This window comes from Homo sapiens, chromosome 11, assembly GCF_000001405.40.
Source record: "Homo sapiens chromosome 11, GRCh38.p14 Primary Assembly".
Classification (NCBI taxonomy): domain Eukaryota; kingdom Metazoa; phylum Chordata; class Mammalia; order Primates; family Hominidae; genus Homo; species Homo sapiens.
In genome coordinates, this window is record NC_000011.10 from 107,319,013 (window position 1) to 107,333,481 (window position 14,469).

Below are 14,469 nucleotides of genomic sequence, written 5' to 3' on the forward strand. Positions count from 1 at the left end.
GTCCTTAAAAAATTCATTCAGTCCTTCAAAAGAATAGTGATGTCTTTAGTTTGGAGAATTTAATCCAATGATATTCAAGGTGATTACTGATAGGTAAGAATTTACTACAGCCATTTTGTTGTTTACCAGTTGTTTTGATAAATCCTTTGTTCCTTTCTCATCTCTTGCTGTTCTCCTTTGTGATTAGATGATTTTTTTTGCGTGACATGCTTTGATTCCTTTTTTTTTTTTTTAATCATTTGTGTATCTACTATAGGTTTTTGCTTTGTGGTTACCATGGGACTTACATAAAATAACAGCAATGACAGGCTATATTTTAAGCTAATAACTAAACTTGATCATATAGAAACACTACCATTTTTGTAGTTTTATGTTTTTGATGCCACAATTTAAATCTCTTTATATTGTATATTACTTAGAAAGTATTGTGGTTATAATTATAAAAGTTTTGTCTTTTAATCTTCTTACTAAAGAGATGTGATTTACACACCACCATTACAATATCTGAGTATTCTGTATTTATCTATGTACTTGCTTTTACCAGTGAGTTTTATACTTCATATGTTTTCATGTTACTAATTTAGTGTCCTTTATTTTCAGCTTGAATAATTCCCTTTAGCATTTATTAGTTTCAGGCAGGTCTAGTGGTAATGAACTCCCTCAGCTTTTGTTTGTCTGAGAAAATCTTTCTCTGTCTTTGGTTTCTGAAGGACAGCTTTGCCAGGTGAAATATTCTTGGTTGGCAGTTTTTTTCTTCAGCACATTGAATATATCATCCCACCCTTTCCTGGCCTGTAAGGTCTGTCCTGGGAAATCTGCAGATAGTCTTATTGATATTGTTCTTAATGTAATGTGCTTCTTTGCTCTTGCTGTTTTCAGAATCCTGTCTTGAAGTTTGATTATATGTCTTCATATAATTTAGATTGAATCTTATTGGAGACCTCTGACCTTTTCATAATAGTGTGTATTTATATCTTTCCCCAGATTTGGGAGGCTTTCAGCTATTATTTTTTTCAAATCAGGTTTTGAAAAACCCTCATCCTTATTTCTATAATACATTTGTTAGCTCTTTTGATGATGTCTCATAAATCCTGTAGTCTTTCTTCATTCCATTATTTTTTCTCCTTTGACCATATTATTTTGAAATAGAGTTCACACATATTTTTTTCTCCTGCTTGATTAGTTCTGCCATTCTCCTTTTTGCATTTTTCATTTCATTCATTGTATTCTTTAGCCCCAAAATTTGTTTGGTTCTTTTAGTGATTTCAACCTGTTAAATTTATCGTTTTGTTGATTTATTGTTTCCCTGATTTCATAGAACTGATTCTCTGTATTTTCTTGAAGTTCACTGAGATTCCTTAAAACAATTACTTTAAATTATCTGTAAGGCAGTGTATAGTCTCTATTTATTTGCAGCTTCTAGGAAATTATTGTTCTTTTGGTGGTAATATGTCTCCTTGATTTTTCATGTTTCTTGCTGCCCTGTTGATGTCTGTGCATTTGGTGGGGGTAGCCATCTCTTTCAGATTTTATGCACTGGTTTCAGTGGGGAAAGGCTTTCCCCTATGGGAGGGTGCTAGGCCCCTGGCTGGGTGAGGTGCAGTGGTTCTGGTTCCAGATAGGACACAGCAGTATAGTCTCCATGGAGTTCTGTCAGCTGAGGTCAAAGTGACAAAGATTGCAGGGATCCTCAGCAGCCAGTACTGTGAATGTCCACAGCAGAGGTGAGGGCTATTGGGATTGTCAGTGGCAATGGCTGCTAGGTTCTCCCAATCTCTTATTCTCCCACCAATGAATCTTTCGACAATGGGATCTCTTTTGGCACAAGGTCTGGCTTGTGGGCCTGCTCACGGTGGCAGTGGTACAGGTGTCTGATGAGTGGCATGTAAAGCAGCCATGGAGCCAAGTCTTGAAGTATGAGCATGAGCAGAGGGACTATGGCTCTGGGATCCAAGGCATTAATGGCATTGGTGCTGGGATGAAGGCACCCCCACTTGCATGTTGGTGCTTATGAAGTAATGGGTAAGCCAGGGAACCTGGGACAGGACTATGGGCATGAATAGAGCTACAGTGGCTGCAGGGTTAGGGATGCCAGCTAGCTCTCTATGGCAGCTAAGTTTGTACCCAGAGCATAGGCATGCATGGAGAGACCTTGGCTCTGGGACCCACACATGATCTAGCTTGCTATGGTTCTGGTGTATGAGACATGGGTACACAGAATAAACCCTCAGAGAAGGGGTCAGGAATGTGGGCACTTGTGGAACAGCCACAGCTCAGAGGTTGGAGGCATGCACAGGGATGGGAAATGTGGCAGCTCCAGTCCCAGAATAGCACAAGAGCAACTGATTCTTAGGGGTTATGGGAGTGTGCAGCCACATCTCCCTCTATGGGGTTCCTGGACAGGAATGGCTGTTGGTTACCTCTGTTGCAAAAGATGCCACTGTCCTCTGCAAAGCAGGCTCCTGGGAACCACAGCAGTTCACCTGTACAGCTGATACCAATATCCTCTGCATTTCTTCGTTCCTAACCATCTCCTGGTGCCTCAAGTATGCCAATTTCAACAGCAATCCTTTCTGTGGATATTCTTCTTTTTTTTCTCCAGTGTGTTGCGGCAGATTCTTAAATAGATCCTTGAGCACTATCAGGGCTATTCTGGTTTGTGAATGGCTATCTATATTTTTTTATGGGGAGATTAAGGCTTGTAGATCTACTACTCTGCCATATTGGTGACATCACTCCCAGGACTTCCTTAAAATGCCAGTGAATAGATTCTTAAGGTGGCCTCCATTATGTTCTAATCTTGGTTTTCACATCCTTGTATGACCCCATCCCCTTAAGTGTGAGGAGGACCTGTGACTTGCTTCTAAGCAATGCAGTAGTGCCCTCTTATGTGTGGGGGATATGTTCCAAGACCCCTAGTGGATCCCTGAAACCACAGACAGTACTGAACCCAATTGCCATTAATTGGAACACATTTCTGTTCATGTCTTCCACCCACAAATTTAATGCTTTTCCTGTCTTAACCAAGCACTTATGCACTGTGACTGTAACTTTTGCAGCTTGAGGTGTGACAGCAAAACTAGCACAAATTTGTTTTTCCTTCTTCACAATTTCATAGACGATTTGTTCTCACAGATCTTAGCAATCTCAACACATAATTTATTTTATCTCCTTACTAAGCCAAGAACTTTCACCTTTTCACTTAAAGGGGGCATTTTATAACTTCTCTTTGGCATATCTAAATTGCCAGCTCTTGAGCTTTGGGGCCATTATTAAAATAAGGGTTACTTGAACACAAGCACTGAAATACCACCACAATCAATCTGAAAATGAAGATGACTACTGAGTGACTAACGGGCACATAGTGTAGACTACTGGATATATCTTTATTCCTATACATGTTTTTTAGCTTTGTTCTGGAATTCAGTTAAGTGACTTGGAAACAGTTTGATCCTTTTGTCTCTTATATTTAAGATTTGTTTGTCAAGACTACTAGATCAATACTCAGTCTCTGAAAAATGATTCTATATTACTGAGACAATTATTCTATGCTACACACCACCATTACGTGTACTCTATCCAATTCCCAGTCAATCATGACATTTTCCATTCTAGCTTGTGGAAAATGTCACCTCTAACTCTTTTGGGGTAGGTCAATCTTGGCCTAGCCTCGAGTAGTTTCCTCAAGGCATGCACTAATCAGTGCACAGATGCTCAAAGGTGACCCTCTGCATACCTCTAGTGTTTTCTCTCTGTACAGCAATCCTTCCTCTAGTAATCTGTTTTTCTGACTTGGTCTATCTAGGCTCACAGCTCCATTTCCTCAACTTGGATAGTCAACAAGCTGTTTCCCAATCCTGGACTACAGCTTGGAAACTCTCTCAAAGCATTAAGAGAGGACAATTGTAGGACTCATCTCATTTGTTTCCCATCTCACAGGGATCATTGTACCTTGCTGTATGATGTCCCATGTCTTGAAATCATTGTTTCATATACAGTTTGTTTGTTGGTTGTTTTAGGCAGCAAGGTAATCGGGCCACTATCTTGTCTGGAAGCGTAATACTTGAGCTACTTCTTATGAAAAAGAAAGGCTGACTCAGGGTTAAAACAAGAGCACAGAGGACAGAGAAAAGAGCCACAGAATCTTCTCAAGAAGCAGGACAGATCACCTAATCAAGAAACTGGCAATATATACTTAATTTTAAAATTTCTAGTGAACAGTGACTGCTATATTCCTCCTATTTTCTTACTTTTCCATCAATGTGCCTACTGCAGTTAATGTATGTTTCTCTTACTATTGTGTTTGGTGAGTGTTTGTGTGGAGGTGGTGCAGATCTTATGTTCACAAATCTTCAGAGTGAGTGGAAGCACACCTGAGTAGTTTCATCTCCATCTGGGTCTGATTCAGATGAGACCTAAACCTCAAGCCTAAGCCTAGTTACTGACTGGGATGAAACTTTCTTGAGAGGATCTGAATATATTTTCATGTGGGAGAAATATAAATTTGTGGCCAGAGGGTAAATTGGTGTTCACACTCCTTCTATCAAGAGGTAGAATTATGACCCCACTTCTTGAATATACGTGGGCTCTGTGACAACTCTGACATACAGAAAATAATGATGCTGTGCCACTATCTGGGCCCAGGCCCCAAGATGGCACCTTCTACCTCTTAGGCCTTGGAACTGCCCTTTGGAATGGTTGTTCTGGGAGAAGCCAGAGCCATACAGCAAGTCCAACTAAAACAAAATTGCTATATATGGAGAAAGTCATACTAGCCAGTCTCTAGCTGCTCCAGTCATTCTAGCCCAGGCACCAGACATACGAGTGAAGGAACCATGTTGAATATTCTACACCAGCATATACCATATGGAGAACAGAGGACCTAGACATACAGCTTCAGTCATCTCCAGATGGGTTTAAACCACTCTAGCTGAGGCCCCAGACATCATGAAGCAGAGGCAAATCATCCAGCTGAGCCCGTATCAAATGCCTCACCTATAAAACACTAGATATAATAAAATGGCTATTACTATAAGCCACTAAGGCAGAGAGTTTTTATTCACTAATGTATCCCTTACATGCAGAACAGTGACTGGCATATTAAAGACACTGAAGTATTTGTTGTGAGCCAACTTAAAAATGGTATTTCTAGATCCCGTAGAAAGTGAGTGCAGTGGATAAAAAAATAAGGTTTGAAAGTAGGCATTTCAACATTTAGAGGTTGAGGAGATGAAGAGGAACCAGCAAAGGAGACTGAGAGAATACAACTAGTAAGAAAGAAGAATAAATAAGAAACAGTGTTCTAGAATCAAAGTAAAGAAAGTGTTTCATAAAGGGGAAATGATCAAGTATGTCATGGATATGCTGATAGATAAAGATGAGCACTGAGCTTTAATTCTGGATTTGCTAGTGTGGAAAGTCACCGATGACCTTGACCTGAAGAGTTTGGTAGAATGATGAGGGTGAAGTCGAACTTCATCCTCACTGCACTGAGAACAGAATTAGAATGGAGGAAGAGAAAACAGACTTTAAAAAAATGAGTTTCCTGTCAACTGGACACAGGGCTAGAGGGGAGATGCAATGCCAAGATTTGCTGTTGATATATTATATAAATATTTTTGTATGCTAATAAGAATAATCCTGTAAAGAAGAGCAAAAAATAATAATATAGAGAGAAGAGGCAATGTAGTAGTTGAGAAGGGATAAAATCCAGTACATAAATAAGTGGATTGGCCCTAGATAAGAAAAACAAAAAAATTTATCTGGAATTAGGAAGAGAAAAAGTAAGAGTTCACAGGTATACATGCAGGTATACTGACAAGACGTGCTACAAATTTCCTTCCATTTGCTTCTATTTTCTCAGTAAAATAGGAAGCACGGTCATAATCTGGGAATGAAGAGAGGGGAGATGTGAAATAGTCCTTTAGCACTGTACTCAAGTATACTTGGCACATATCTCACTTGAGAACTTATCACATTGTGCTATAATTATTTATGTATATATCTTTTTCCACTAAATTATAAAATAATTTAAGGTAGAGGAAGTACTTTTCATTTTTGCATTACCAGCACATAACACAGTGCTCTACAAACAAATGTTTGTTAATTTGCTGATTGAATAAATTAGTGTTATTGATTCCTTTAAGATTTGGAAGCAAAGCCAAGAGTTTTAAAATAGCAATCAATAAATACTGTCAAACATCTACTTCATATATATGCCTAAGTGTATGTTGCAAATATTCAAAAACTGAAAACATTAAACTTCAACTTATTTATGAAATCAAAAAAAACTACAGACAGAACACATACATTTTGCTTTTTAACATATTAGGGAAGCAATGAGATGCTAACATAAAACATACAGACATGGATGAAGCTGGAAACCACCACTCTCAGCAAACTATCACAAGAATAATCCAGCAAACTATCACAAGAATAGAAAGCCAAACACCGCATGTTCTCACTCATAAGTGGGAGTTGAACAATGAAAACACATGGACACAGGGAGGGGAACATCACACACCGGGGCCTGTCAGGGGGTCGGGGGGCTAGGGAGGGATAGCATTAGGAGAAATACCTAATGTGGATGATGGGTTGATGGGTGCAGCAAACCACCATGTCACATGCATACCTATATAACAAAACTGCACGTTCTGCACATGTACCCCAGAACTTAAAATATAATTTAAAAAAGAGAAGAAACAATGTGTAGAGTTATAAGTTACAGTGGAGCACACCTCACACTGAATCTAGGTATCCAACATTTCATACAAAAAGGTTCAGCTTCCAAAAAGCCAATAGCTGAAAAAAAAGTTACTACAACAATAATTTCCATTAAGAAAAAGAAAAGTAGGAGCACTCAAAACATAAAAACCCTATACTTACAAAATATGACTATGGTGTGAGTTGAGAACAAATAAAAATTACGTTCCTTGGATCAAGTAAGGGACAACAGAATGTCCCATACTCTCATCCAGGCATGGTGGCTCATACCTGCAATCCCAGCACTTTGGGAAGCTGAAACAGGAGGATAGCTTGAGACTAGGAGTTCAAGGCTACAGTGAACTATGATTGGGCCACTGCACTCCAGCCTGGGTGACAAAGCCAGACTCTGTCTTAATAAATAAAAACAAAACAAAAAGATAAATAAATAAAAACTCTCATTACTTAAGATTTTACGACAATCAGTACAACTCAAAACCAATGATTTGGCTATAAATTTTAACTTTCATGCAAACCCCAAACAACCCTAAAATATGTTATTTGGAAGAATTACTTTTAGAACCACCAAAATTCAAAGATACTATTTAAAAATCCAGAAATAAAAACAAATTTGAATCATACAAATTTTCAGTATCATTTAATTCTTTAATACTTTGGGGACATTTCCTTTTCCTTTAACAAAAAGAATAGAAGTGATACTATATACTGCTAGTAGAAAATTAAGAGCTTTTCTATAAAATCCTATGAAATTAAAATTAAATCGTCTTATTTTTAAAAATGCAAAAGAAGCCAGACAGTAGACTTAACAACCATGAAGCAGACCCACTTCCCTCTGAACCAAGGATTTCCTATGCTTTTTAGATATCCCTTCAGAAAAGGCCTTCTCTAAATTAACTGAACAATTCGGAATACCAAGAAGTAGGTAGAGAGCAGGAATGTGAGCAGATCATCGAATATATGTTTTTACTCCATGGTGACTAAAATGAAGTCCATAGATAGGAGCAGGTGAAGAAGAAAACAACACAATCTCCTGATGTACAGTTGTCACTGACCCAGAGCAGTCTGCTGCTGTGACTCTCTCTGCCTGTGACCTGAGGGTCAGTTGCTTCATTAGATGCAATGGAAATAAAACTGAACGGGATCTGAAGAAAAATTTTAAAATGGAAGGTACACCTCAATAGTTTTTACTTTTGGTGAAGTCATATGGTTTCCACCACTGAGCAAACTGCAGTGCTTTTTTCCTCTGATCCTCAAAGCTTTCTCGGATGCCTTTCCTCCAAAGTCTTGGTTCTATATCCAGCATCCCACCTATGATTTCCTTTTAAAGAAAGAGAAAAGCACAAACACAAGCATGTATAAATAATGAAAACAGAAATGAAACTATTTCTGTTTATTCTGCTATAAAATATAACAAGTTCTTCTCCATGACAATGTTCAAGCATAAATACTAGTTGAAGTTAAAAAAATATGTTTTCAGTTAATTCTAACTAGGCAAACCGTGTGATTCTAAGAGTCCAAGTTAGCTGCATCTCCTATCAAGCAATTTGTCCATTTTGTTGCTTATTAGCACATCTACTAGATGGTAACAAAGGGGAGGGAAAACAAGTGAAATTTAATTAATATGATCTCTATTAGAGGCTCCCGTAAACAATTTTGCAAAAATGTTAATCAACTTCTAGCAATTATTAACTTTACTGCTCAACTGCAGTTGAATCCCAAGCTAATGTTCTCTCTCTGCTACCAAGTATATTTATAAATTAGTTTCTTCCACTATTAGCAGAAATCTTTTTTCATGAAACAAAATCCTATTGTAATACTAGTTTAAGTAAACCTATTGATAGAATTAAAAATTATATATCACTTTCATTTAAAAAATCACATTCTCAAGTCCCATAATAAATGGCTTTTTGGTTATCTGATTATTATTCTTGATTTCCTTCATGATCCTCTTCCTGTGCTGTTAGCTATAGAAATAAATCAAATTTAGGCATGTGAGTATCCATGAACAGAAAGACATGGGGGAGCCTCCTAATGCTTAAATGCTTAGAGGGAGGGCAGTATGGTAACAAAGCAAAAAACAAAAAACAAAACAACAACAACAAAAAACAGACTAAGGATCAAATTCTGCATAGTCGGTCTAGCTCCACCAGACTGTGTGGTGAGATCCTGCACAAACCACATAATCTTTCAGATGCAGGTTCTTCATCTTACTTAGGGACCTACTATGCAGAAGCAAATGCCGTATGTTGTAGGGGATACAGAGATTGTGGGGTGAAGACACACAGTTGTCTTCAGACAGAATAGAATCTGGAGCTGTGGTGGGAGGAATAATAATCCAGCTATGCAGCAGACTGTCTCATAAAGTAGAAGGTAAGTGTCAAAGCAGACCATTTGTGGAGACTCAAAAAAAAAAAAAAAAAAACAATCTATTTGTTGGCCAGACCAGGAGATGCTTCATGGAAAAGGGAATCTCCTGTCATCAGGGAAGGGAAATAAAGGGGTCAACAGAGATAGTAGAAAAGAGAAATAGGGCAAATTGAGATTTAGTTCAAGAGTTTCTCAGCATCGGTCCAAATAAGCAATGTAGTTTAAGAAAGCCTAGCTTATAAAAGTTTACCTAAAATTGTCTATAAAATACCAAGTTTTGTCTTACATCTACCATATAAGCTTGACTCTTGTTCTGTTATCAAAGCAGCTGTTAATGGAAAGACTATCCCCATAATCTCTTCTTGCTCTCTGAACAACTGCTTCAGCAGCAGACTGCAGGGAGGTCTTGAGCCCACAGGCTATTTCTTAAAAAGCAAATTTTGAGGAAAATGGCTCAGTGACGCAATGCTGACAGAGAAAATTTACTTTTAACTCCAAAACTGAATCATATAAACCAGAATGCATGAATAATATGTGAAGAAAGGGCAATCTCCCAGTTTAATATATACAACTTTTTAAAAATGGATATTTTACTTCCTTTTTTCTAGGACCAAATTTTTGTTTTGTTTTGTTTTTCTGTTTTTGTTTTTAATAAATCCAGCCATAGAGCTTTTGGTTATAAAGCTCTACTGTATAACAACAGGATTTTTCAGAACAGTGAAAACACATTTCTTTCTAGTTAAAAAAAATTCTGAACACTTCTCAAACTTGTTTCTGTAATATGTTATAACAGTTCAAAGATGCATGTTACTTTGTTATGCTGGTTAACCCACTAAGGACAAGAGCATTAAAAAGTTTTGAATCAAACCTCTGGAGTTGAGATTCCTCTTCAGATATTTCTACTCATTGCAGAAGATGTTCCTCTGCAGGAGATGAAAGTGGGGAGCAGGGTGGAGAACAGGGAATCCCAAGCAGAGTTCACCAAGGCCCCTCTTTTTCAGAGGGCCTGGCTACATAGGGATAAATATGAATGGAAAGGCCTGATCTATACTAGATTAAAGGCTCACTTCTAGAGCAATCATTGCCCAGACTACTTTTGACTGTTTCAGTTGCTGCATTAACTTTATTCCAGTTCCTGACACTATTCTGTAGACTTTAATTTAAAGATTATACCCCACAGAATATAAGAAGGCAATCTGTGGTAGTGAATCAAAAGATCTGTATGCTAATATCTGCCCAGAAACTATCAGCGTAAAATGAGTCATGTGTTCTTCTTGGGCTACGCCTTGCTTAATTATAAATGAAGATGAGAAAATTGGTTCTCTAGTTCAACCATGACTATATGTACTCCTAGTTCTACCACTTATTAGCGCATTACCCTGGGCAAGTTACCTAATCTCTCTGTAGCTCAGTTTCTTCATCTGTAAAGTGAAATTTATAATAATATCCACACAATAGGATTATTGTGAGCATTAAATGAATGCTTAGAACAGTAGCTGGCACACTGTAAGCCCTTAATAAGTTTTAACAATTATCATCATTCTCAACACAAGCCTGGCTTCCTCCAAAAACAACCATTATAGTAATTGTTGACACCGTCAAGAAATGTTTGGTTCCAAAGTAACATTCCTGGCTCTGTTATATACATTCTGGGATATTTTTATTAATAGTTGCTAGGTATTCCCTCTCTAAAAACTGGGTGGAGCAGTACTCACCAATTTCTTTGTATACTGTGCCCAAAGTTTTTATTTCCTTTCAAAAGAAAAATGTTACCAAATTGCTAACTCTGGGATTTTATCAAATTTGTAAGCCTACCTTTCCAAAGTAATGAGGGAATTTGTGCTGATCTTCAATGACATGGGCAAACCCTCCGTGAAGGCCAAAATCCACAGAGAAGTAAGGTAACCCTCTGGGTACCTAAATAAACAGACAAATCACAAATGGAATACAGTATGAAACCAGAAAGTTATGTTTAATCCCTCCCCTCTTCTCTGGAAGGACAGTAATCTTAAGCATTCCTCAAGACAAATGTATAAAATGAATTTCCAGTTCTAGAGATATTTAAACAATGACCTAACTTTCTGAGTAAAATATCTCATTTTGGTAGCCTTTCAGCCAGATAGTTCATCATTATCTATGAATTATAATCAAAACCAACTATTTTGCTGTCCTTGGGGAAAACCAACGGGGGAAATTATACTTTTAAAAATACAAATGCAAAGAATAATTTCCCTTAGACTACACAAATAGAGAATAAGTATATGCCTTCTTGTATTCCACTCACAATGGAGAACAGCAAGAGGGACCTTGCACATACTTAGAGCTCTCCTTGAATCTTTACAGTTATATATTTATCAAAGATAAATTATACAAAAACAATCATAATTTTTTACGAGCTGGTGAAGTGGATACAGCAACACTTAGTTTACCAGCCTTATTTCAAAATATCTCCAGGATTAAATCCCTACTGTCTTTTTCTCTCCCTTCCTTACTCTTTCCTTCCCTCCCTCTCTCTTTCTCTCTCTACACACACCCCCCCCACCACACACACACACACACACACACACACACACACACACACACACACTTTAAACTATTTCATGACTAGGAAAAGCCACAAATTCTTGTTTTCTCTATCAATTAAGTAGATTTTGTGTCCTTGCAAGTTTTGCTTCAAAGCCCAAACTTTGCCACTAGAAATTATCCAAGTGGGTCATTTATAGCAACATTTCTCCTCTCTAATTCCCTCATATAGTCTGTACTTACTTATTTGGGCAGTGAATCACATGGTCCTACTTAACCATACAAATTGTGTATTGTGTCCTTTTTAAAAAGGCACAATGTAGAAGGGCACAGTATGATATAGTGGAGAGTGGTCACCTTGAAATATTATAAGGCAACTAAAATTAGGGCTTATAAAAAGTTTTTCATGTTATTTAAAAAGCACACGTAAAAATCTGTTCACGAAATAGTATATAACATTAAATATGGAGAAATGGGATACCATTTGTGGCTTTAATTTTTCTATATTTCCACATTTTTAAATATAATAATCATGTTATGACCTTGACTATTAGGAAAAAACAAAGTAAAGGAGATAGACAAGGCTCCAATTGCAACTCTGATTCTTATAAGTGTGTTACCTCAGACAAGTTAATTAACATCTCTGAGTCTCATGAGAAACATGAAGAAATGCCCTAGTCCTCAATTCGCCATGAATATACTGCCTTAGGTGACAAAAGGGACTTTGCAGATATTATTAAGGATCTTGAAATGAGGGGATTTTCCTGGGTTATCCAGATAGGCCCAATGTAATCATAAGGACACTAATAAGAGAGATAGGAAGGTCAGAGTCAGAGAAAGATGGAAGATACTACACTCTTGGCTTTGAAGATGAAGGAAGGGGCCATAAGCCATGAATGCAGGTGGCTTCTAACAGCTAGAAAAGGCAAAGGAATGGATTCTTTCTAGGGCCTCCAGAAGGAATGCAGGCATGCTGACACCTTGATTTTAGCCAAAAGAAACCCACTTTGTACTTGCGATCACCAGATTTTTGAAATAAATCTATGGCGTTTTAGGCCAATATGTTTGTGGTAATTTCTTACAGCAGCAATAGGAAACCAATATACATGCCAAGGCTCAACAACCTATGGCATATTTGCCAAGACGGCACAATGAACACACTACTACTTTCACACAAAGGCAACTGCTGTCACAAGCTTCTCTATTCTCTCCCTGCAGGCTGCAAAAAGGTACAACCTGCTGCTTGCTAGAAGAGTTGTTAGCAGGCATTGCAAAGGCTCTAGTATCAAAGTGTATGTACATTTAGCACTTCCTTTTTTCTGCACTGGCCAGTCAGAGGAAATGCATTTGGAACTCTGGCACCACTCTTTAAAGGCACTGACAGAATTAAAGCAAAACTTTTTATTTATGGTAGAAAAATAGACATATTTGGATTTTTCACTTTTATTCCAGATGTTACTCCTGACTTCTTATAAGTATCCTTGAATTTGAAGGCCTCTGGTAAACCCACATTCTCGTGAGAAGTGCTTTCCTTAGTTTAGAACATCAATTTCTAAATGTTGGATGTTTTTTCAATTGCTATAGTTATCACAAAATTAAACTTAAAATACCATTTTTTAAAGTTCAGAAAGAATTCTCATGCAATCTCACTAAAACAGCCTTGTGAAAAATGACTGCTTTTCTCGACAGTTACTTATTATCATGCAATTCCTCTGCATTGAACACTCAGATCTGTTTTTCCTGTTTATTTCCATGAACCTCACATTACACTGAAAAGAAAGCAAATGGGCCAAAGAAAATGAACAAAATGGGCAGATAAAGAGAAGCTTACCTTCATACAGCAAAGAAAAACATAAATTTGTAAAAATCAGAATGGATTACATATACGTGAATCTCTATTATAAGCCAAGAATTTACACAGTGAAAAAAAAAAACCACCCCACCCTGAAGGATGCAGGCAAAATATTTCATGAAATTATTAAGGACATAAAGTTTTTAAAAGAAGTATAATAAGGTTCTTTCAGAAGTAATAATAATGTTAAAATAACTCAGTATTGTTCATTTCATGTTCAAAAATACTTTTATTAATTTTTGAAAAGATAATGGAAAGTTTATTAACCAAAAAGTGACCTCCTTTGGAATTTTTCTTATACTTATGTACTCTTCTCATTCTTACTTCCATCCACATAATTATAAAATCTTAAAGCTAAAAGGGGCTGGGCGCAGTGGCTCACACCTGTATTCCCAGCACTTTGGGAGGCGGAGGCGGGCAGATCACGAGGTCAGGAGTTCGAGACCAGCCTGACCAACATGGTGAAACCCTGTCTCCACAAAATACAGAAATTAGCCTGGCGTGGTGGTGCGCTCCTGTATTCCCAGCTACTCAAGAGGCAGACGCAGGAGAATCACTTGAACCTGGGAGGTGGAGTGATCGTCACTGGGCGACAGAGCTAGACTCTGTCTAAAAAAAAAAAAAGGTAAAAGGGATCTCAAGAGGTCATCTGGCTCATCCTTCATTGACTGTAACCCTCAGCTAGTCTCAGATACAATACTATGTGATGCCTTAATAAAGGCAATTGCTGCTATCTTTGAAATCCTTTAAAACTGAATATACAACTGCCATTTTTACAGTATCTGTGTTTCTTATGTTTCATAATGTTAAGTTAAAATATTAAGACCTCCTGGCTACTTAATTCAGGTACTCATGGAGCTTTTAAAAAAGAAACAAATAATAAGATACTAGACATTTCACCAGTAAGAAAATGTATACACAGTATAGAAAACGGGGACTAATAAATCAAATTTTTTTCTCCTTTGAAATATTTTCAACTGTCATTAAAACTATGTTGTGAAAGA

The 14,469-nt window shown here is 37.3% G+C and overlaps 1 protein-coding gene across 2 annotated transcripts in view; it reads right to left on the minus strand.

Annotated features, from left to right (window-relative positions):
- Positions 1 to 7,347: 7,347 nt before the first annotated feature.
- The window catches only part of CWF19L2 (CWF19 like cell cycle control factor 2), a 131,466-nt gene continuing 124,344 nt past the window's right edge, over positions 7,348 to 14,469 (minus strand). For both annotated transcript variants that reach the window (NM_152434.3, XM_047426419.1), the window contains 2 exons: positions 10,906 to 11,007; positions 7,348 to 8,041 (listed from right to left, as the gene is read on the minus strand). In NM_152434.3, the coding sequence (NP_689647.2) occupies positions 7,898 to 8,041; positions 10,906 to 11,007 (246 nt within the window). In that variant the 3' untranslated portion in view covers positions 7,348 to 7,897. The remainder of the gene's footprint in view (positions 8,042 to 10,905; positions 11,008 to 14,469) is intronic.